The sequence below is a fragment of the Homo sapiens genome, chromosome 16 (assembly GCF_000001405.40).
Source record: "Homo sapiens chromosome 16, GRCh38.p14 Primary Assembly".
Taxonomy (NCBI): domain Eukaryota; kingdom Metazoa; phylum Chordata; class Mammalia; order Primates; family Hominidae; genus Homo; species Homo sapiens.
The window spans coordinates 70,103,372-70,126,240 of record NC_000016.10 but is presented as its reverse complement, the minus strand read 5'-3'; the positions used below and the strand labels follow the sequence as shown (position 1 = coordinate 70,126,240).

Sequence of the window (22,869 nt, the reverse complement as noted above, 5' to 3'; positions counted from 1 at the left end):
GACCCCATCTCTAAAATAAAATAAAATTTTGGAATTCATCTATACAATGGAATATTATGCAGCTATAAAAAAGAATGAAAAGGTCTTTATGTACCAAAATGGAACAATCATAATGAAAAAGCAAGGTGAAGAACAGTGTGTAAGGTATGCTCCCACTTATATAAAAAAGAGAAAAAATATAATAAATGAATATCCATACACATATACACAAACCTACCAACACATAATTGCTTATAGAAGTAGAGAATATAACTAGAACTTAACTTCCCTCCAGAGAGAAAGCTTTTTGTTAGAAGTGAAGATTGAGGGCTGGGTGCAGTGGTTCACATCTATAATCCCAGCACTTTGGGAGGCTGAGGCAGGCAGATCACTTGAGGTCAGGCGTTCGAGACCAGCCTGGCCAACATGGCGAAACCCCATCTCTACTAAAAATACAAAAATCAGCCGGGCATGGTGGCAGGCGTCTGTAATCCCAGCTATTCAGAAGGCTGAGGCAGGAGGATCGCCTGAACCCAGGAGGCAGAGGTTGCAGGAGCTGAGGCTGCACCACTGCACTACAGCCTGGGTGACAGAGCAAGACTCCATCTTAAAAAAAAAAAGAAAGAAAAGGAAAGAACATTGGGGAGTCTTTTTCCTGTATACTCTTTTACATATATATATATATACTTTTTTTTTTTTTTTTTTTTTTGAGACGCAGTTTCCCTTGTCACCCAGGCTGGAGTGCAATGGCACAATCTCGGCTTACTGCAACCTCTGCCTCCTGGGTTCAAGCTATTCTCCTGCCTCAGTCTCCCGAGTAGCAGGGATTACAGGTGTGTGTCACCATGCCCAGCTAATTTTTGTTTTTTTGTTTGTTTGTTTTTTTAGAGACGGAGTTTTGCTCGTCACTCAGATTGGAGTGCAATGGCACAATCTCGGCTCACCGCAACCTCCACCTCCCAGGTTCAAGCAATTCTCTTGCCTCAACCTCCCAAGTAGCTAGGATTACAGGTGTGCACCACCATGCCTGGCTAAATTTGTATTTTTAGTAGAGATGGGGTTTTGCCATGTTGGCCAGGCTGGTTTCGAATTCCTGACCTTAGATGATCCACCCGCCTCAGCCTCCCAAAGTGCTGGGATTACCGGCATAAGCCACTGCACCCAGCTTCTTTTACATATTTTCAATTTTGAATCATATAAATACATTGCCTATTCAAAAGTACATAAACTTTACATTGAAAAAAATGTTCTCTAATTTGTGGTAGCAACAGAATATAAAGGCTACAGTAATGCTAGGGCCCAAAGACCCAGTTTTGCAAGGGACCCATATGTCAAGAAAGCAGGTGGGGGGTTCTAAGGTCATTTTCCCCAAATTATTTATCACTCAGTAAATAAACTAACATCTGTGTCAGCATGCCTGTCACTTGAGTTTACTGTATTTACTCTAATAATTATATTTTCCACATAAGATTGTCAGCTCCCTAAAGAGATTTTTCTATCATCTTTGTAACTGTGTGGAGCTCCACCCCAGGTGGGAGTTCCATTAACTGGCTGGTGGTCAGCACCTATAGCTCTGGTGACGTCTCTGCTGGGATAGCACTCCTTGAGCAGCTTTGACAGTGGCTCTCGCCCTTGGAGGTACATTAGAGTCCCCGGGGAAGCTTTTAAAAATATTGATGCCTGGCCTCACCCCTAGAGATTCTGGTTTGTTCTGGGGAGAGGTCTGGGCACTGGTAATTGTTAAAAGCTCCCCAGCTGATTCTAATGTGCAGACAGATTTAAGACCCATTGATCTATGAGAACAATAGTGAAGATGGACAAGAGGAATAATTATACATAAAGGGCAGTATAAAACCATTTCACAAGCCACGGATAAGGCATAATAATAACTATTATTTTTTGAGACAGTCTCACTCTGTTGCCCAGGCTGGAGGGCAGTGGCACAAACTTGGCTCACTGCAATCTCTGCCTCCCAGGTTCAAGCAATTCTCCTGCCTCAGCCTCCTGAGTAGCTACAATTACAGGCTTATGCCACCACGCCCAGCTAATTTTTGCATTTTTAGTAGAGACGGGGTTTCCCCATGTTGGGCAGGCTGGTCTTGAACTCCCGACCTCAGGTGATCCACCCACCTTGGCCTCCCAAAGTCGTGGGATAACAGGCATGAGCCACTGCACTTGGCCGAGGCATAATTTTTTTTTTTTTTTTTGAGACTGAGTCTTGCTCTGTCGCCCAGGCTGGGGTGCAATGGTGCGATCTTGGCTCACTGCATCCTCCGCCTCCTGGATTCAAGTGATTTTCCTACCTCAGCCTCCCGAGTAGCTGAGATTAACAGACGCGAATAACCACTCCCAGTTAATTTCTGTATTTTTTAGTAGAGACGGCGTTTCACCATGTTGGCCAAGCTGGTCTCGAACTCCTGATCTCCGGTGATCCACTCACCTTGGCCTCCCAAAGTCCTGGGATTACAGGTGTGAGCGATCGTGCCTGGCTGGCGTAATTATTTTTAAGTGTGAGGTTTAAATAGTCTGCCTTATATCAATTCTAAGGTATTATATAATCTTGAAGCAACAAATTAAACCAAAAATGAACCTCCCTAGGGTCTCCCACTTAGAAACATTTACACTGCGATTAGTTTATCACTTTTTGTGGAAATACCTGATAATTAAATTTAAAAGGATTTCAAAAAATAGGAGAAAGACTTTGACATCAAGGAAGCATTATGAGGCCAAGTGTGGCGGCCCACACCTGTAACCCCAGTACTTTGGGAGGTTGAGGTGGGCGGATCACTTGAGCCCAGGAGTTTGAGGCCAGCCTGGACAACAAGGTGAAATCACGTCTCTACCAAAAAAACAAAAAATTAGCCAGGCATGGTAGTGCATGCCTGTAGTCCCAGCTACTCAGGAGGCTGTGGTGGGAGGATCACTTGAGCCCAGGAGGCAGAGGTTGTAGTGAGCTGAGATTGAACCACTGCACTCCAGCCTGAGTGACAGCGTGAGACTCTGTCTCAAAAACATTAACAAAAACAAAACCCACTTTTGCTCTTAAAAGTATCCACTGCGGGCCGGGCACGGTGGCTCATGCCTGTAATCCCAGCACTTTGGGAGGCTGAGGCGGGTGGATCAGCTGAGGTCAGGAGTTCAAGACCTGCCTGGCCAACATGGTGAAACCCCATCTATACTAAAAATACAAGAATTAGCCAGGTGTGGTGGCATGCAACTATTAATCCCAGCTACTTGGGAGCCTGGGGCAGGAGAATCACTGGAATCCGGGAGGCACAGGTTGCAGTGAGCCGAGATCACGTCACTGCACTCCAGCCTGGGTGACAAAGCAAGACTCTGTCTCAAAAAAAAAACTATCCACTGCATAAAATAGAAATCCATGAGTCTAAACTGGTGTGTGTGTGTGTATGTGTGTATACAGATATATAACTGAGTAAATAAATGGGGGAGAAGGAAATCTCTTCCTGACAGTAATATGCCAACTATAATAAATGTAGAAGTATGATCAAAAAATCACCATTTGTCAACCATCACGGTGGTGGCTGACTCAGGCAACAGTTGTCAATGGATGCTAAGCCCGGTAGGTGGAGGTCTCATATGAACAGGATATTGGCATAATCTCAGAATCCATCTCTCCTCAAAGGGCACTGGCCCATTACAAGGGGAGAAAACAGGGTCTCTGTGCTAGAGATGCTTGGAGGACACCAATGTAACTGAGTGACCAGGTTTATCACCACCAGAAGTGAGACAGGACAGCCATACACCTCCTGATGTGGTGCACTGCTGAGAGTCCAGCCTAATTTCTGTGGTCTTACTGCCAAAAATGTATGACCTGGTTATGATGATGGATGCACAACTCTGTAAACAGATTTCAGCACTTAACAAGGATGAGTGGCATGGTATGCAAATTGTATCTCAATACAGTGATGGTTATAAAAGTCTCTAACCCAAGTCTGATCACAAGACAACAGCCTAGGCCAGGTGTGGTGGCTCGCGCCTGTAATCCCAGTACTTTGGGAGGCCAAGGTGGGTAGATCACTGGAGGTCAGGAGTCCAAGACCAGCCTGGCTAACACGGTGAAATCCTGTCTCTACTAAAAAAACAGAAATTAGCCGGGCATGGTGGTGGGTGCCTGTAATCCCAGCAACTCGGGAGGCTGAGGCAGGAGAATTGCTTGAACCCAGGAGGCGGAGGTTGCAGTGAGCAGAAATTGCACCACTGCACTCCAGCCTGGGTGACAGAGCCAGACTCCATTTCAAAAAAAAAAGAAAGAAAAGAAAACAGCCTAGGCAACACAGGGAGATCCCATCTCTACAGAAAAATACAACAACCAGCCAGATGTGGTGGTGCATGTCAGTAGTCCCAGCTACTTGGAAGGCTATGGCAGAAGGACTGCTTGAATCCACGAGGTCAAGGCTACAGTCAGCTGTGATAGTGTGACTGCACTCCAGCTTGGGTGACACAGCAAGACCCCATCTTAAAAAAAAAAAAAAAAGGGAATAAGAAAACATTAGCTAAACACAGGTTGAGAATTATCAGAGTCAAAGGCCTGTATTCTTTTTTTTTTTTTTTGAGACAGTCTCGCTCTGTCACCCAGGCTAGCGTGCAGTGGCATGATCTCTGCTCACTGCCACCTCCGCCTCACGGATTCAAGCGATTCTCCTGCCTCAGCCTGCTGAGTAGCTGGGATTACAGGTGCACACCACCACGCCCAGCTAATTTTTGTATGTTTAGCAGAGACAGGTTTTCACCATGTTGGCCAGGCTGGTCTAGAACTCCTGACCTGAGGTGATCTGCCCACCTCAGCCTCCCAGAGTGCTGGGATTACAAGTGTGAGCCACCATGCCCGGCCAATATTGTTGTATGAATCTAACATTACTTGTATAGTGGTATAATATTAATTAATGATGGATTATAAGAATCCATTCTGTAATCTCTGTAACTATTACAAATTAATATAAAGGGACTTAGCTTACAAGCCAATAAAGCAGAAAATACTTGACCTAAAAGAAGGCGAGCACAGAGAAACTAAGCCTATAGAGCATATTTCTCTTGGGGAATGAGAACAATATTAAGAACCTAGCAATTAAGCAAACACAAGCAGTTGTCTACTTTGCTTAAATGCAATCCACATTATTTACAAACGCAAATTTTTGTCAAAGTCTAAAATGTTGCTGGGTACAGTGGGTCATGCCTGTAGTCCCAGCACTTTGGGAGGCCAAGGTGGGAGGACTGCTTGAGGCCAGGAATTCAAGCTCAGCCTGGGTAAGAAAGCGAGATCCTGTCTACCAAAACACCACCACCAAAAAAAAAAAAAAAAAAAAAAAAAAGGAAAACGAAATTTGCCAACTCTCTAAAAACCAGAGAACATGAGCATTATTAGTCATCCTTAAACAAAATTCAGGAGATTCCACCTTGCTTCTTCTCATGCTACTTAGCAACATTTAGATTAGCTACTGGTGGGGCAGTATCTCTGAAAGGAGAGGGAATCTTATACGATTAGTGCAGCACAGCCATGAGCCAAATGCAGTCTGATCCTTACCTGCCCTGCTCCAAAAGGACAATATCCTTCCACCCCATTTTGGAGAGGTGATAGGCCACAGAAGTGCCCGTGATTCCACCTCCACAGATGACCACCTGTGCCTGGGTGGGCAGGGCCATGGAACGCGCCTCGGCAGCTGACGTGCTGTTTCTTGCAGAGGACCAGTTCTGCCATCCTGGGCTGGCTCTTTGTCTTCCAACAATCGACAGCAACCGGTAGAACATCATGTCTCTCACCAACTAGATCTCAGGAACTCAAACTAGACAGAGAAACCAAACATATTTCATGCCATTCTACTCAGTGCATGGGATTAATGAGAAAGGGATTTGACAAAGAACGATAGCCATTCATTCAGCAAATATTTGAGGGTGGCTGGGCATGGTGCCTCACACCTGTAATCCCAGCACTCTGGGAGGCCAAGGCGGGCGGATCACGAGGTCAGGAGATCGAGACCATCCTGGCTAACACAGTGAAACCCCGTCTCTACTAAAAATTCAAAAACTTAGGCTGGGCGCAGTGGCTCACACCTGTAATCCCAGCACTTTGGGAGGCCGCGGCGAGTGGATAACGAGGTCAGGGGTTCGAGACCAGTCTTACCAACATGGTGAAACCCTGTCTCTACTAAAAACACAAAAATTAGCTGGGCATGGTGGCAGGTGCCTGTAATCCCAGCTACTCAGGAGGCTGAGGCAGGAGAATTGCTTGAACCCGGGAGGCGGAGGCTGCAGCGAGCAGAGATCGCGCCACCGCACTCCAGCCTGGGCGACAGAGCGAGACTCCGTCTCAAAAAAAAAACAAACAAACAAACAAAAAAAAAACAAAAAAAGAAATATTTGAGGGCATTCTGAGTTTCAGATATTCTGCTAGCAGTGAACAAGAATGGGGAAGTCCCTGTCTTTATGAAATTTACATTTGAGAGTTTGCGTGTGTGAATGAGGAGAACACCAATCAATATACAAATAAACATACAAATAAAACAGTAAATAAAGCTAACATGATAGAGTAACTAGGGGCATATTTAAAACAGGATGGTCAGAAACAGCCTCCAAGGAAGTGACATTTGGAAACAGACCTGAAGGATAAGGAACGAGCTATACATTTGGCAGACACTGAGACGAGCATGTGCAAAAGCCCTGAGGTAAGACAGACCAAGAACAAAAAGGAGGCCGGCATGTACACGACACGGGGAGTGTGGGGAGATGATCTAAGACAATGCTGGAGAGGCAGGCGGAAGCCAGTTACACACAGCCCTTGGGTGCCATCAGCAGGAGTTGGAATTTTATTCAAAGTACAAAGGAAAATCACTCATGCGGGAGTATCACTAGCAGGGGAATGAAATGATCTGGGATGTTTTTCTTTTCTTTGTTTTTTTTGGCGGTGGGGGGTTGGGGGATGTTTTCCAAAGGTCAGTCTGGCTCCATGGTGGAGAGCGGATGGTAGAATTATAAGAAAAACAGAGTTGACTTCCTAGGCTCAAGTGATCCTCCCACCTTGGTCTCCCAAAGTGTTGAGATTACAGGCATGAACCACTGCCCTTGGACAAGGCAGGGTTTTAACAAACTTAATCTATCAGCAAAACAGATGACTGTTCAAGTTTCAAGAAACTGAAGAAGAAAGCACCTACTGGCTGTCCATGCAGTCATGTGTACAGGAGGATGAGGACTTTGAGACGAGAGGCGGTAGACAAGGGGGCCTTAGGGTAGCTCACTGCTAGTCATCTCCTTACCGCCTCCACTGCCAGCCACAGGACCCACAGATGCTCCACAGTCAGCACAAATTGTCCAAGGCCAAGGTATCTATGTCCATCCATCAGAGATGACTCTCAGAATTGCAACCAATGCAAGCACAGACTGTGTCCAGGCAGACATCCCATCCAACTGGAGACAAATTGTCTTGGCCACCTTGTGGTTGCCACCATGCCTCTCATCCCTGGTCCCTGTTAAGCACCATCTCAAAACAGAAGCTTCTCTACCCGGCTAGTCTTTCCATAATCTCATCTCCACGTGACCAATTTATTTCCCGTGGCCCAAGCTCTCTTTGCTTTCCTCTCCTTCAAGCCCCTCTACTGCACCCTCCAGAATACCTTTCCCAAAGGTAAACACCCACCCCTTTGCTGACATTCTCTCTACCCTCTGTCCCAATGGCAACACAGCTCTCCTGGGGAACTGCTGCTGCCAAATGGCCAGCCCCGTCCCATTGACCTCACTGTCAACCTCCTGGCTTCTGACCCGTGACCACTCGGTTATACTTGAAAACTGTCCTGCTCCTTGGTGGCTTAGGCTAGCACATGTTAAGCCACAGGCAGACCTCTGTCTGTATTCAGGTTCAGAGCCCAGCTATTCCTCTCTCAACCTTCAATTTCACCTCCTTTCTTCCCTCATTCTAAGCAGATAACCTGGCTCATCTCATTCCCTGAAACCCTTCCTATAGACCCACTTGCATCTGCAACCATCTCTTCCTTCCTTCTTTTATCCACTGGAAAGTTAATCTCCCCCAAGGGCCCTGGATCCCACTTCCTCCTCTCTTCTCTTGACCCTAGCTCCATCAACTGCTATCTCTCTTTCATGTACCTGCAACGTTTCCCTCCCTTTTTGCTGCTTTTCCTCAGCAATTTTTTTTTTTTTTTTGAGACAGAGTCTCACTCTGTCGCCCAGCTGGGAGTGCAGCGGTGTGATCTCGGCTCACTGCAACCTCTGCATCCCAGGTTCAAGCAATTCTCCTGCCTCGGCCTCCTGAACAGCTGGAACTACAAGCACGCGCCACCACGCCCAGTTACTTTTTGTATTTTTAGTACAGACAGGGTTTCACCATGTTGATTAGGCTGGTCTTGAACTCCTGACCTCAGGTGATCCACTGGCCTTGGCCTCCCAAAGTGCTGGGATTATAGGCGTGAACCACCACACCCACCTTAATGACTTTCTGATGCCCTCAGGAAAAAGGCAAAACTCTTTTCATATCAAGTGCAAGATCCTTCACACTCTGGTTCTTATCTGTGGTCTCATTTCTCCTTTCCTCACACTCTGACCAAACCAGACTGAACAACCTGTAATTCGTCAAACATATCAGGTGAGGCGTGAGTGTTCTATTCGGCTCCAGGTTCTGTGCATGCTGTTCCCTCCTGGCATGGTTCCTGCCACCTCTCCCCCAAATACAGGTAATCTCCTCAGGTCACAGCCTCTTTGACATCTTATTTATTTTTTTTGAGATGGAGTCTCGCTCTGTCGCCCAGGCTGGAGTGCAGTGGTGCGATCTCAGCTCACTGCAAGCTCTGCCTCCTGGGTTGATGCCATTCTCCTGCCTCAGCCTCCTGAGTAGCTGGGACTACAGGCACCCACCACCATGCCTGGCTAATTTTTTTTTTTAATTTTTAGGAGAGACGGGGTTTCACCATGTTAGCCAGGATGGTCTCAATCTCCCGACCTCGTGATCCGCCTGCCTTGGCCTCCCAAAGTGCTGGGATTACAGGCATGAGCCACTGTGACCGGCAAATAATTTTTAAAGCTAATATTTTTATAAGTAGTTACAATGCACCAGATACTGCCTATATATATAACTAATTTAATCCTCACAACCTTATGAGGTAGATACTAGCATTTCTATTCTACACTTGAGGAAACAGGCACAGATAAGTGGAAGTGACTCACCCAAGGTCCTACCAAACTGTTGAGTAGCAGAACCCTGCCAATTTGGCATTAGTGGCCGGCTATTTAATCATGACTCCACGCTACCTTTCAAATAAAAGCAGATGGTAAGGAAAGGACAGCTGTGAGGACTGAACCATTAAGCACATTCCCCTAACAGAGAAAGGGAATTGCAAAGGTGGCAGAACAAACACAGTAACAGATGAGTTTTAAGGTGGAATTAAAAAAAAAACTTTAGGCCGGGCGCCATGTCTCACGCCTGTTATCTCAGCACTTTGGGAGGCCGAGGCGGGTAGATCATTTGAGGTCGGAAGTTGGAGACCAGCCTGGCAAACATGGTGAAACCCCGTCTCTACCAAAGATACAAAAAATTAGCTGGGTGTGGTGGCACGCACCTGTGGTCCCAGGTACTCATGGTGCGGCCACCATTGCATCTTGGGCCTCACTAACCAGTTCCCGTTTGTTGGATTCAATACTCTCTCACCACACAGGCCAATCTTGTGTTTTATTAATTTTTTTAATTTTTTTTTTTTTTTTGTAGAGAGGGGCTCACTATGTTGCCCAGGCTGGTCCTGAACTCCTGAGGTAGGAGGATCGCTTGAGCCTGGGAGACAGAGGTTGCAGTGAGCCGAGATTATGCTACTGCACTCCTGCCTGGGTGACACAGTGAGACTCTGTCTTAAACAAAACAAAACAAAGAAAGGCCAGGCGCAGGGGCTCACACCTGTAATCCTAGCACTTTGGGAGGCCAAGGTGGGTGGATTATTTGAGGTCAGGAGTTTGAGACCAGCCTGATCAGCATGGTGAAACCCCGTCTCTACTAAAAACAGAAAAATTAGCCAGGTGTCGTGGCTTGCACCTGTAGTCCCAGCTACTCAGGAGGCTGAGACAGGAAAATTGCTTCAACCAGGGAGATGGAGGCTGCAGTGGGCAGATTCGCGCCACTGCCTGGGTGACACAGTGAGACTCCATCTCAAAAAAGCCCAGGGTGCTTGGCGCCAAAAAAGGGATCTCTGACCTTGTGTTCATTATGACCTTCAAAAGAGTGAAGTGGTGAGGGCATGAGGGCAGAGGAAAAGAAGGGCTTAAGACAACGAAGGAAAAGAAGGCACCAGAGTCTAGTGCCTTTGCCGCCAAACCTAAACCTATAAGGTTGGCAGCAAAACCAAAGCACAAACTGATAACAAAGGAGGTAAAGCCAGGGGAGAAGAAACTGAAGACGTCAAAGACAGAAATGAAGCACATCATCTGGTTTAAAACAAATGATAGAGTTTTTACAGTTCTGGAAAATGACCGTATAATATTCTCTGCTAAGAAGAATAACTTCTGCTAAACAACCATAAGACTGCAGCTGGCTCTACTCAGATCTGCTTATTCCAACAAGACCAAGGTGCTAGTTCTAACTTCGAGTTGTCCCTCTGTATGGCTGCAGCGTTGCGCACAGTGGACTGCCGGTCACAAGGAAGACTGGATGAGCGTGGGTTCACACAACATTTCCCACACTTGCCTCAGCAAAAGAACCACCTGGGACACTTGTTTAAAAATGACAGATTCCCACGGTCCACCTCGGCAGATTCTGATCCTGCCACTCCAGGGAGCTGTATTTTTCAACAAGTACACCAGGTGATCACGCAAGTTTAAGAAATTAACACAAGTTGGCCGAGCGCAGTGGCTCACGCCTGTAATCCCAGCACTTTGGGAGGCTGAGGCGGGAGAATCACGAGGTCAGGAGTTCGAGACCAGCCTGGCCAACATAGTGAAACCCCGTCTCTACTAAAAACACAAAAATTAGCCGGGCGTGGTGGCGCACACCTGTATTCCCAGCTACTTGGGAGGCTGAGGCAGGAGAATTGCTTGAACCCAGGAGGCAGAGGTTGCAGTGAGCCGAGATCGCGCCACTGCACTCCCGCCTGGGCGACAGAGTGAAACTCTGTCTCGGAAAAAAGAAAAAAAAAGAAAAAAGAAATTAACACAAGTCCCTGCCACTGGAAAAGCTTATCCGTCAGGCTGGCTCCTCCTCCACCACCAGACCCCATCCCGGTACATCACGTTTACATGCATGCGGAAAATGGGCTTGGAGATTCTTGATTCAAATCCGAGGTATCACACATCGGCCCCCAAAGGTCAAACATTAAGAAGGAAGCTTACTGCCCTGTCCCAGATTTTTCTAGGTGACTTCTTCCTCCGGACTCTGCAGCAGTCTTTAGTTCTAAAAGCACAAGCGGACCGCACGTCTCAACGCGGGAAAACAGTTCCATCTGCAGGGATGGAGGACCGGGCTAGACAAGCTGGAGTTGGCTCTGCGCCGCAGGGGTGTGCAAGCCCGAGACGGGGGAGCCCGAGGTCACCCCGGCCGCCCTGGCATCGGGGCTGAAGTGCAGGCTCCTGGAGGAGCGGTGCGCACGCCCAGGGGTAGCCGAGAACACAAGCCAAGGCACGAGCGGACAACCTTACGGGGACGAGTACTGGCGCCCGGACGCGACTTCGCGAGAGGCCAGGCGGAACCCACTGGAAGCGTGAGCTAGCGGGGACCACCCCCGGGCGAAACCAAAGGAGAAAGAGGGGAACCCAGGGGTCCCGGGGCGCTTAGGCCCGCGCGGACGGGGAGGCCAGAGTTGCCCCGAAGCTATCTCCTTACCTCACCGGTCCCCACGGGCTCCGCGCTCAGCTACAGCCCGGCGGGAGCAATGCGGCAGCCACAACAGTTGCCTGGGGTCGCCGCGGGCCGGAAAGCGGGGTTCGGGGATGGGAAGGGGGCGGGGCGAAGCGAGCAAAAAGTTCCGGGGAAGCCGAGACCGCGACCTTCCGCGCTTTACGGCCCCCGGGCAAGGGTACTGCCGGCGCGTGACCTCAGCAGCGCACGAGCGCGCCGTGACGCCTTCGCGGAGCCCCGCCCCTGCCACGTGGGCTTGTTTGGGTCTCGCGAGGCACCGCCCCCGCGGCCTCTTTGCCACCCTCAGAGGCGAGCTGTGGAAGCCTTGACTCTTAGGGCCGTTTTAGAACCGGGGCCTCGGACCGGCGGGGTTTCTGCACGTGGAACCGGAACATCTGAGATGATCGCAGGCCCTGTGGAGTGTGGGGAGCGCGGGAGTTCTTTCTTCCCTCGAGGCCCGTGCCAGGGCTTACTCCAAAGCCAGTGGGTCCCCAGTCCTAAGCCAAGCAGTCCCGGGGGAAAACGCTTCTCATCGCCGTGGGAGCGCGGATCTTGGAAGTGGCTCTGGGCTTTCTTGGGCGAGGCTCTCACAGAGTAGATCGGAAATCCATTCTGCTGGCCCGCCCCACCTCGGAGGACGGACTAACGGACCTGAGTTCCCGGCCCTATCTTACTCTTCTCAGCTTCTCAGCTTGGCTCAGCTCAGAGGAAGAGGAATCACTGAAGTCTCAGAGAAGTCTCCACTCATCCCTTCCTCACTGTCACATCAGCCTTTTCTTTCCTTCTAGAACTCATCACTGACTCAAGGATATAAGTTTGATGACTGTCTTTTCCACTGGTGTGACACGATCTCTGTCGACAGAACCTTAGTCTTATGCATAGCTTTATTCTCAGCACCCAGAACAGTGCCTGGCACCTCTTCCACTGAATATTATATGCATAAGGGTCTCATGCTGCAGCCACCATTGCATCTTGGGCCACACTATCCAGTTCCCGTTTGTTGGATTCAATACTGTCTCACCACACAAACCAATCTTGTGTTTTATTAATTTAAAAAAAATTTTTTTTTTGTAGAGATAGGCTCACTATGTTGCCTAGGCTGGGCCTGAACTCCTGGCCTCAAGTGATCCTTCCATCTCAGCCTCCCAAAGTCCTGGGATTACAGGCGTGAGCCACTGTGCCTGCCCCAATCTTGTGTTTTATTGCTGGCCACCTGTAGCCAGGCACTGTGCAGGATGATGGGATCCAGCAATGTACAAGAAAGAGGCGGTTTCTGCTCTTAGGGAGTGGCAGTCAAGTTCCAGGGACCCCTCTGTCACAAGGCCAGGCCACAGCCTACATAGTTTATACCCCATTTACTGGCCAGTCAAATCACACAAAGACAGCCCAGATGAGGTCTGCCAGACAGTGGACTGAAACTATGCCATAGGCTCCTGTGCTAGATAAATACTTCCATATTTTAGCTAGGATTGAATGCTTGGGGACACCTACCTGTCTAAAAAAAGAGAAAACGGCTGACCAATTTGAGACATTCTCGGGGAAGGCTTTCCTGATGCCCAGATGTGGCGATTTCATGAAAAATATCACAGGTTTTCCTCATGAACCATTTGGTTCAAGCCATTTCCAGGCACATGAATTTGGGAGAAACCTGGTTGTCTGCAGGAGATGGTGGATGAAATCAAGTGAAATACTTAATGTGTTGATTTCATTCTGTTTACGTGCAGTAAATAGCAAACAAATGGTGTAGATCTGTCCCTGATTTCCTTCTCCATCACCATGATCGGCCTCCACTCCAAAATGCTAAGTCAGGCTGGGTGCGGTGGCTCATGCCTGTAATGCCAGCACTTTGGGAGGCCAAGGCAGTTGGATCACGTGAGGTCAGAAGTTCGAGACCAGCCTGATCAATATGGTGAAACCCCATCTCTACTAAAAAATACAAAAATTAGCTGGGCGTGGTGGCACATGCCTGTAATCCCAGCTACTTTGGGAGGCTGGGACAGGAGAATTGCTTAAACCCAGGAGGCGGAGGTTGCAGTGAGCCAAGATTGTGTCACTGCACTCTAGCCTAGGCGACAGAGCGAGACTGTCTCAAAAAAAAAAAAAAAAGGGAAGTAAGTCCTAAGGCCCCTTTCATTGTCAAAGATGGGTCTTGTCCTTAGTAGGTTCTCATAACCACTGATGCACTATTTTTTCTAGGGGATTGAGTGTTTTTATTTTATTATTATTTTTTAGATGGAGGCTCACTCTGTTGCCCAGGCTGGAGTGCAATGGTGTGGTCTCGGTTCACTGCAACCTCTGCCTCCCAGGTTCAGGGGATTCTCCTACCTCAGCCTCCCCAGTAGCTGGGACTGTACAGGCGTGCGCCACCACGCTGGGCTAATTTTTGTATTTTTATTAGAGACAGGGTTTCGCTATGTTGGCCAGGCTGGTCTCAAACTCCTGACCTCGTGATCTGCCCACCTAGGCCTCCCAAAGTGCTGGAATTACAGGCGTGAGCCACCGCGTCCAGCCTATTTTTATTTTTTGAGATTAGCTCTCACCCTGTCACCCAGGCTGGAGCACAGTGGTGCAATCACGGCTCACTGCAGTCTTAACTTCCTGGGCTCTAGCGATTCTCCCACCTCAGCCTCCCGAATAGCTGAGACCTCAGGCGCGTGCCACCGTCCCCAGCTAACTTTTGTATTTTTTGGTAGAGGTGGGGTTTCACTATGTTGCTGAGGCTGGCATTAAACTCCTGACCTCAAGAGATCCACCTGCCTTGGCCTCCCAATGTGCTGGGATTAGAGGCATGAGCCACCATGTCTTGCCCTAAACAGACGTTTTAATTACGCTTGTCAAGTCCTCTTGTGAAATCTTCATCTGCAGTGACTTGGTAAATGTATTTGCTACCACACAGGATAAACAGTGTACAGACAAACATTTGACATACCTATGTTACCACAGTGTAAGAATGAATTTGGATCTGAGGTCGCTAAGATGCAGGCGTTTATCTTACCTCCCTGCAGCACCGGCATGGCTGTGGGGAAGGCCTCCCTCCTCCCTCTGAAGTTCTTGTCCCCATCAGTAGACTGGACATCTGCCTACAACCGACTTCACAGAAAGGACCTGACACCTGGCATGCTTCTCGTGTGCTTGAGAGCCTGTGTTTGTGTGGAAAGCAGGGATGTTCTCATTCACACCATGGGAAGAGAAGAATGTTGCGAGTAGCAATCAGTACTCTTTTTTTTTTTTTTTTTTTTTTTTTTTTTGTGAGACGGAGTCTTGCTTTGTCACCCAGGCTGGAGTACAGTGGCGCGATCTCAGCTCACTGCAAGCTCTGCCTCCCGGGTTCACGCCATTCTCCTGCATCAGCCTCCTGAGCAGCTGGGACTACAGGCACATGCCACCATGCCCAGCTAATTTTTGTATTTTTAGTAGAGACGGGGTTTCACCATGTTGGCCAGGATGGTCTCGATCTCTTGATCCACTGCGCCCAGCCAGGAACTTCTTTTTTTTTTTTTTTTTTGAGACGGAGTCTTACTGTGTCGCCAGGCTAGACTGCTGTGGTGCGATCTCGGCTCACTGCAACCTCCAACTCCCTGGTTCAAGGGATTCTCCTGCCTCTGCCTCCTGAGCAGCTGGGATTACAGGCGTGTGCCACCACACCCAGCTAAATTTTGTATTTTTAATAGAGATGGGGTTTCACTATGTTGGCCAGGATGGTCTCGATCTCCTGACCTTGTGATCCGCTCGCCTCGGCCTCCCAGAGTGTTGGGATTACAGGCGTGAGCCACTACACCCGGCCTGGAACTTCTCTCTCTTTTTTTTTTTTTTGAGACGGAGTCTCGCTCAGTCACCCAGGCTGGAGTGCAGTGGCACCATCTCGGCTCGCTGCAAGCTCCGTCTCCTGGGTTCACGCCATTCTCCTGCCTCAGCCTCCCGAGTAGCTGGGGCTACAGGCGCCCACCACTATGCCCGGCTAATTTTTTTGTATTTTTAGTAGAGATGGGGTTTCACCATGTTGGCCAGGCTGGTCTTGAACTCCTGACCTCAAGTGATCCGCCTGCCTTGGCCTCCCAAAGTGCTGGGATTAGAGGCATAAGCCACCACACCCAGCCTCACTAGTTTTATTATCCACTGACTCGACTTGCTTGAGACGATTTTACTATGGTGGTTATCAAATGGTAACTTTCTAATTCTGTAATTCCTTCTGTGTTTATTAGCTCAAGGTCTATGGGATGCAGTGTTGATAGGGTTCTGTCTACTTCACTTGCCTCTGTTCCCAGGGCCTAGCTCTCCAAGTCTTTCAACTGAAATCCCGTAGTATACCCCAGGTTCCCTCCTTTTGAGAGATCTTGAAAACTGTCTACTCAGCTCATTGCAACCTCTGCCTCCCAGGCTCAAGCGATTCTCCTTCTTCAGCCTCCTGAGCTGGGATTACAGGCACACGCCACCATGCCTGGCTAATTTTTGTATTTTTAGCAGAGATGGGGTTTCTCCATGTTGGCCAGGTTGGTCTTGAACTCCTAACCTCAAGTGATCCACCCACCTTGGCCTCCCAAAGTGCTGGAATTACTGATTTCTTTCTTTCTTTTTTTTTTTTGAGACAGGGTTTCACTCTGCCGCCCAGGCTGGAATGCAGTGACGCAATCTCAGCTCACTGCAGTGACGCGATCTCAGCTCACTGCGGTGAAGCGATTTGAGCTCACTGCAGCCTCTGTCTCCTCAGTTCTAGCGATTCTCGTGCCGCAGCCTCTCGAGTAGCTGGGATTACAGGCACCCGCCACCATTCCTGGGTAATTTTTTTACTCAGCACTGTGACTCTGCAAAATTCCGCTCTGCTTTAGAGAGGTCTAAGCTTAGTGTTTCAGGTTTGCATCTTGTGTATTCAGATTTCACCAGATGGCTTGAGACCTAGCCATCTATTCGAGGCCATTCAAGCCTCCAAATTTTGTCACTCCGGCTGGTGAGACTATAAAAACATAAAAAACCTGGATCCTCAGCCTCTGGCCAGAGTTGGCAAATGCAAGTGGCTGCAGGCTGTCAGCTCTCCTCTCTACAATCCTGACCCTTTAGTTACTGTTGCCTCTGCAACTCACTTAAACCAAAACCTCACCTCTGGCTTTCATTTTCCTTTGTAAATCTCCATCTTAAGGACTTCACAGGCCGGGCGAGGTGGCTCACGCGTGTAATCTCAGCACTTTGGGAGGCCAAGGAGGGAGGATCACCTGAGGTCAATAGTTCAAGACCAGCCTGGCCAACATGGCAAAACCCCGTCTCTACTAAAAATATAAAAATTACCCAGGAATGGTGGCGGGTGCCTGTAATCCCAGCTACTCGAGAGGCTGAGGCAGGAGAATCGCTAGAAGAACCTCAGGAGGTTGCAGTGAGCTGAGATCGCATCACTGCACTCCACCCTGGGCGGCAGAGTGAAACCCTGTCTCAAAAAGAAACCAGTAATTCCAGCATTTTGGGAGGCCAAGGCGGGTGGATCACTTGAGGTTAGGAGTTCAAGACCAACCTGGCCAACATGGAGAAACCCCATCTCTACTAAAAATACAAAAATTAGCCGGGCATGGTGGCATGTGCCTGTAATCCCAGCTCAGGAGGCTGAAGGAGGAGAATCGCTTGAGCCTGGGAGGCAGAGGTTGCAATGAGCTAAGATTGCACCACTGTATTCCAGCCTGGGCGACAGAGTGAGACTGTCTCAAAAAAAAAGAAAAGAAAAAAAGAAAAACATCTGGGAAAGTATTAGACTCAGTCTCTGGTTCTGTCCCCAACTCTCTGGGGCCCCTTGGGTGAGTCTTTTACCTTCTCTGGGCCTCAGATCCACCCGCCTACCTATTACACCCAGTTCTGAGGCTACAGAGTGAACAGAAAAGAAAACCACTGCTGTCCTTACAGAACTGAAGCCTAACTTTTCCATCTATAAAATGGGTATACTACAACCTCCCTGAGAGTAAGTGAGCCAGAGAGCTTGCTCTTTGGGAGGTGGCAGTGGCAGACAGGAAAAGCCCATGGAAACACAATGTCAGAGGTCAGCCCAACCTTTCACCTGGGCCTGTGTGCCCTGCAGTGAAACTTGAACAGATCTTCACTGCTGTCACCTACTGCTACCTGGGGCTGTTGGGTGCAGCTCAGTTCTATGGCCTGATCCTGGTTGTTCTCTGAAGAAATCCCTGCTATTTGGCCCACCCTAAGGGGTCTCCCAGCCAAATGGGTCAAGGAGCAGTCCCTGGCTCCAAGACCCAGGCAGGAGAAAGGCATAGTCCTGCCAGGGCCCTGGAGTATGACAGCCAAGAACTAGCAACTGCCTAGTCCTCAGAAGAGCTGCCTGTGCTCCAGCCTCTACCTCCTCGTTTGAGCCAGCTTCCTCCTAGTCTGCTGCCCCTATTGCCCCTCTCCTCCTGGCTTTTCTCTTCCACATCGTCCAAATGTCTCCCCAAGTACAGAGTGTTTGAGAAGACACTGTTCTGCTGTGGGTTGTTGTGGGCAAGTGAGGTAGGGATTTAGGGCCGAGGCCGAGAGCTCCCAGGGAAGGCGTGTCTGGGGAGTCTGCAGCATCCTGCATTGGGGATGTTCCTATCTTCTCCTACAACCCGATGGAAGCTGGGGTTTTAGTTTGGTCATTCAGGTCCCCAAGCTAATCTGGCCAGTGAGAGGGACAGTGCCTGGTGGGGCAGGCATTCCTGGGCACTGCTGATCAGCTGTCTGAGAAGGGCCTCCCCTCTCTGCACCTCACTTTTTCATCAAGTGAGAATTGGGTGTCTAAGGTTCTCCTCATTTTGGCTAAAACTCTTTAATTCCTAGCCCCTTTTGAGGACAAATGCCAAATGCCTCTGAGGATTACGTTGGCCAAGGATTTTTTACCAGAAACATCTTCACACATAAAATGTGAGGGTGGGGGCGATACATTCAGACTATTAAGGCTTCAGCTGGGCAGCTGTCTCCATCACCGCCAGGGCCTCTGGGGCTGTGGCGTCCACTTATGGGGCAGGGTGGAGCTGGGGTAGGTGAACCAAAATCTCCCTTGTAGGGTGCACTGGTGACAAGGAGCCTGAACCATGGACCCCACCTTCCTAAGCTTAGATCAAAGCAGGCAGCCTCTCCAAGACGCTCACGGACAGGCTTCCCACATGCAGAGACTGATGGCTGCCTTGGGCTCCCTGGACAGAGCAAGATCTGCAGTGACGGCTCACAAGGACCCCAAGTCCCTCCTTCTTCTTCCTCCTCTACTCTTCACCTTCTCCCGGTCTCTCCTCTATGTCCGGGCCCACAGCCTCCTAGGTGACAACTGCCTATGATCATACCACCGTGCCTGGCTACATTTTTAAAATTCTTCTTTGCAGAGATAGGGGGTCTCCGTATGTTGCCCAGGTTGGTCTTGAACTCCTGGCCTCAAACTATCCTCCGGTATTAACTTTCCAAACTGCTGGGATTAAAGGTATGAGCCACCCCACCCAGCCCTGCATTTCCTTAATGACAATGATGTTGAGCATCTTTTCATGTGTAACTGGCTATCTGTATATTTTCTTCTGAGAAATGCCTATTCAAATCCATTGCCCGTTTTAAAATTTGCTTTTTATTCTAGAGTTGGAAGAGTTTTTGTATGATCTCAATACTAGACCCTTTATCAGGTATATGATTTGTAAGTATTTTCTCTCATTGTATAGGCTGCCATTCAACTTTCTTGATAGTGTCTGATGCACAAAAGTTTTTAATTGTGATGAAGTTCAAGTTATCTGGTCAGGCGCAGTGGCTCATGCTGTAATCCCAGCACTTTGGGAAGCTGAGGCAGGCAGATCACTTGAGGCCAGGAAATGGAGACCAGCCTGGGCCACAGAGCAAGACCCCCATCTCTACAAAATAGAGACAGAGCAAGACTCCATCTCAAAAATAAATAAATAAATAGAAGTTATTCAGGCTGGCCAGATACCCAAACAATTTTCCGAGAGAGAAGTATCAATTGAAAGATGAAAATAGTATATAAGTAACAAACAATTTTAAAGTAAAATATAACTTGTACATAAAATATAACATAATGGAAGGTCATTGTACTCTCCAAGGGAGAAAGAGAAGACTTGAGAGTTGGTGATGGTTGGTAAAGGCAGGGTATGAGGGAATCATTCTCTGGAAAGTAATGTAAAATCAGATGACTGACTATGAGGCAGGCATTCAGTATCAGTATGAAGACATATTTTATGGTAATTCTTTTCCTTAGAACTTTGGCACTTAGAAAAAACTGATGTGGAAAGATTCATGACATTACCTGTAGATGAATCTTTGAGATTTAAAAAATACACTTTGGGCCGGGTATAGCAGCTTACACCTGTAGTCCTAACACTTTGTGAGGCTGAGAAGGTTGGATTGCTTGAGCCCAGAAGTTAGAGGTCAGCCTGGGCAACAAAGTGAAACCCCATCTCTACAAAAAATACAAAAATTAGCAGGGCATGGTGGTGTGCATCTGTAGTCCCAGCTACTCAGGAGGCTGAGGTGGGAGGATCACTTGAGCCCGGGAGATTGAGGCTGGAGTGAGCCGTGATCACACAACTACACTCCAGCCTGCGTGACAGACCAAGACCTTGTCTCAAAAAGCAAAACAAAACCAACACCAAAAACCACTTTTTGACATGGAGAAATACTGTATGTGCAAGACACACTGAAGAGGAACAGAAGATGCTAATTGATCACTTCCTGCTATCACTCCTTTAGCACTCCTAACTATGAGGTAGAATTCAAATTTGTTCCATGTGATAGTCTGACTAGTGCTGAGTAAGTCGCTACACGCAAATTTGCTTAAAACAATAATGTCTCAGGGAATATTCTGTGTTTTGGGTAAAGTGCTATCAACTTGTAAGGGTCATGATGGCTAAATACCATTAACTGAACAATCATTATGTGAAACAAATCTGTATCCTGATTATACATCCTTAACTTGGTCACAGTCCAAATTGAATTGATATTATGCTACCTCATATACAATATAAGAATATTCCAAAGTAACATTATATTTTTATTCCTACCCACCCTTTGTGCTACTGTTGTCATATATTTTATTCTACATGTTATAATCTGAAAGTATACTGTTATTGTTTTGGCTTAAGTCAGTTCTTTATTTTTTTTTATTTATTTATTTTTTTTTTTTTGAGATGGAGTTTTGCTCTTTTTGCCCAGGCTGGAGTGCAATGGTGCTATCTCGGCTCACTGCAACCTCTACCTCCCAGATTCAAGTGATTCTCACGCCTTGGCCTCCTGAGTAGCTGGGATTACTGGTGTGCACCACCACACCCAGCTAATTTTTATATTTTTAGTGGAGATGGGGTTTCACCATGTTGGCCAGGCTGGTCTCGAACTCCTGACCTGAGGTGATCCACCCACCTCGGCCTCCCAAAGTGCTGGGATTACAGGCATGAGCCACCACGCCTGGCCAAGTCAGTTATCTTAAATAATGAAAGAATAATAGTCATATGTATCAATTATTTTTCTCTTCTAGTGCTCCTACTTCTCTGCTTCAATTTGTGATCCTTTTACCTTCAATAATTTAGGATTTCTCACAGTGTGCAAATGTGGGAGATGAATATTCTCAGCTTTTGCTTGTCTGATAACACCTATTTTATTTTTTTTGAGATAGAGTCTTGCTCTGTCGGCCAGGGGTGAGTGCCGTGGCAGGATCTCAGCTCACTGCAACCTCTTCCTCCCCAGTTCAAGTGATTCTTATGCCTCAGCCTCCCAAGTAGATGGGATTACAGGTGCGGTGGTTAATTTTTTTTTTTTTTTTGAGATGGAGTCTCGTTCTGTCACCCAGGCTGAAGTGCAGTGGTGCGGTCTTGGCTCACTGCCAGCTCCGCCTCCCAGGGTCACACCATTCTCCTGCCTCAGCCTCCCGAGCAGCTGGGACTACAGACGCCCACCACCACACCTGGCTAACTTTTTTGTATTTTTAGTAGAGACGGGGTTTCACCGTGTTAGCCAGGATGGTCTTGATCTCCTGACCTAGTGATCTGCCTGCTGGGTTTACAGGCGTGAGCCACCAAACCTGGCCATTTTTGTATTTTTAATAGAAACGGGATTTCACCATGTTGGCCAGGCTGGTCTTCAACTCCTAGCCTCAAGCGATCTGCCTGCCTCTACCTCCCAAAATGCTGGGATTACAGGGGTGAGCCATGGTGCCTGGCCTATTTTCATTTTTTAAAGGGGTATTTTTTGCTGGATATAGAATTCCATGTTGGCATTTTCTCTCAGCATTTTACATTTATTGTTTCATTTGTCTCTAGTTTCTACTGCTTGCTTTGTTGAGAAGCCAGCTGTCATTTTCCTTCCCTCAAGAGAATGTCTCTTTTTCTCTGCCTGCTTGTTGAATTTTCTTTTTACCTTTTCGTTTTGGCAGATTGTTAATAATGTGTCTAGGCTGGGCGTGGTGGCTCACACCTATAATCCCAGTACTTTGGCAAGTCGAGGCGGGTGGATCACCTGAGGTCAGGAGTTCGAGACCAGCCTGACCAACATGGTGAAACCCTGTCCCTACTAAAAATACAAAAGTTAGCTGGGCATGGTTGTGGGCACCTGTAATCCCAGCTACTCAGGAGGCTGAGGCAGGAGAATCACTTCAACCCCAGAGGTGGAAGTTTCAGTGAGCCGAGATCACACCATTGCACTGCAGCCTCAGTGACAGAGCGAGATTCTGTCTCAAAAAAAAAAAAAAAATTGTTAGGTGAGTATGGATTTCTCTTGAGGTTCACTAAGTTTGTTGAATTTGTGGGTTAAAGCCTCTCATTAGATTTGGAGAACATCTTGGCCATTATTTCTTAAAATACTGCTTCTATCCCATTCTGTCTGCCTTTTTTTTTTTTTTTTGAGACAGAATCTCACTCTGTTGCCCAGGCTGGAGTGCAGTGGTACGATATTGGTTCACTGCAACCTCCACCTCCCAGATTCAAGCAATTCTCCCGCCTCAGTCTCTTGAGTAGCTGGGATTACAGGCACCTGCCACCACACCCAGCTGATTTTGTAATTTTTAGTAGATATGGGGTTTTTTACCGTGTTGAACAGGCTGGTCTCGAACTCCTGACCTCAAG

At 47.9% G+C, this 22,869-nt stretch overlaps 1 protein-coding gene across 18 annotated transcripts in view, besides 2 other annotated features; it reads right to left on the bottom strand.

The window, feature by feature from the left end:
• The window catches only part of PDPR (pyruvate dehydrogenase phosphatase regulatory subunit), a 49,802-nt gene extending 37,187 nt beyond the window's left edge, over nucleotides 1-12,615 (bottom strand). For 8 of the 18 annotated variants that reach the window (XR_007064891.1, XM_017023388.3, XM_005256015.3 and 5 more), the window contains exons 1-2: nucleotides 11,801-11,909; nucleotides 5,522-5,780 (exon numbers count right to left, since the gene is read on the bottom strand). Coding sequence is in view for 15 of the 18 variants with exons in the window: in XM_017023388.3 (XP_016878877.1) it covers nucleotides 5,522-5,748 (227 nt within the window). In the remaining 3 variants the exon portion in view is untranslated. Of the gene's footprint in view, nucleotides 1-5,521; nucleotides 5,781-7,145; nucleotides 8,755-9,165; nucleotides 11,421-11,800 lie in introns of those variants that run through there. The other 10 variants (NM_017990.5, XM_047434303.1, XM_047434304.1 and 7 more) reach the window with 7 other exon arrangements.
• Nucleotides 10,433-11,375: an enhancer, noted in NCBI's record as "H3K27ac-H3K4me1 hESC enhancer chr16:70148769-70149711 (GRCh37/hg19 assembly coordinates)". NCBI's record gives its function as "activates a minimal SCP1, AML or CMV promoter by ChIP-STARR-seq in naive H9 embryonic stem cells {active_cell/tissue: H9 hESC(naive)}" and the evidence as "EXISTENCE:reporter gene assay evidence [ECO:0000049][PMID:30033119]".
• Nucleotides 11,896-11,945: an enhancer, noted in NCBI's record as "active region_11049". NCBI's record gives its function as "activates an Ori minimal core promoter by ATAC-STARR-seq in GM12878 lymphoblastoid cells {active_cell/tissue: GM12878}" and the evidence as "EXISTENCE:reporter gene assay evidence [ECO:0000049][PMID:35858748]".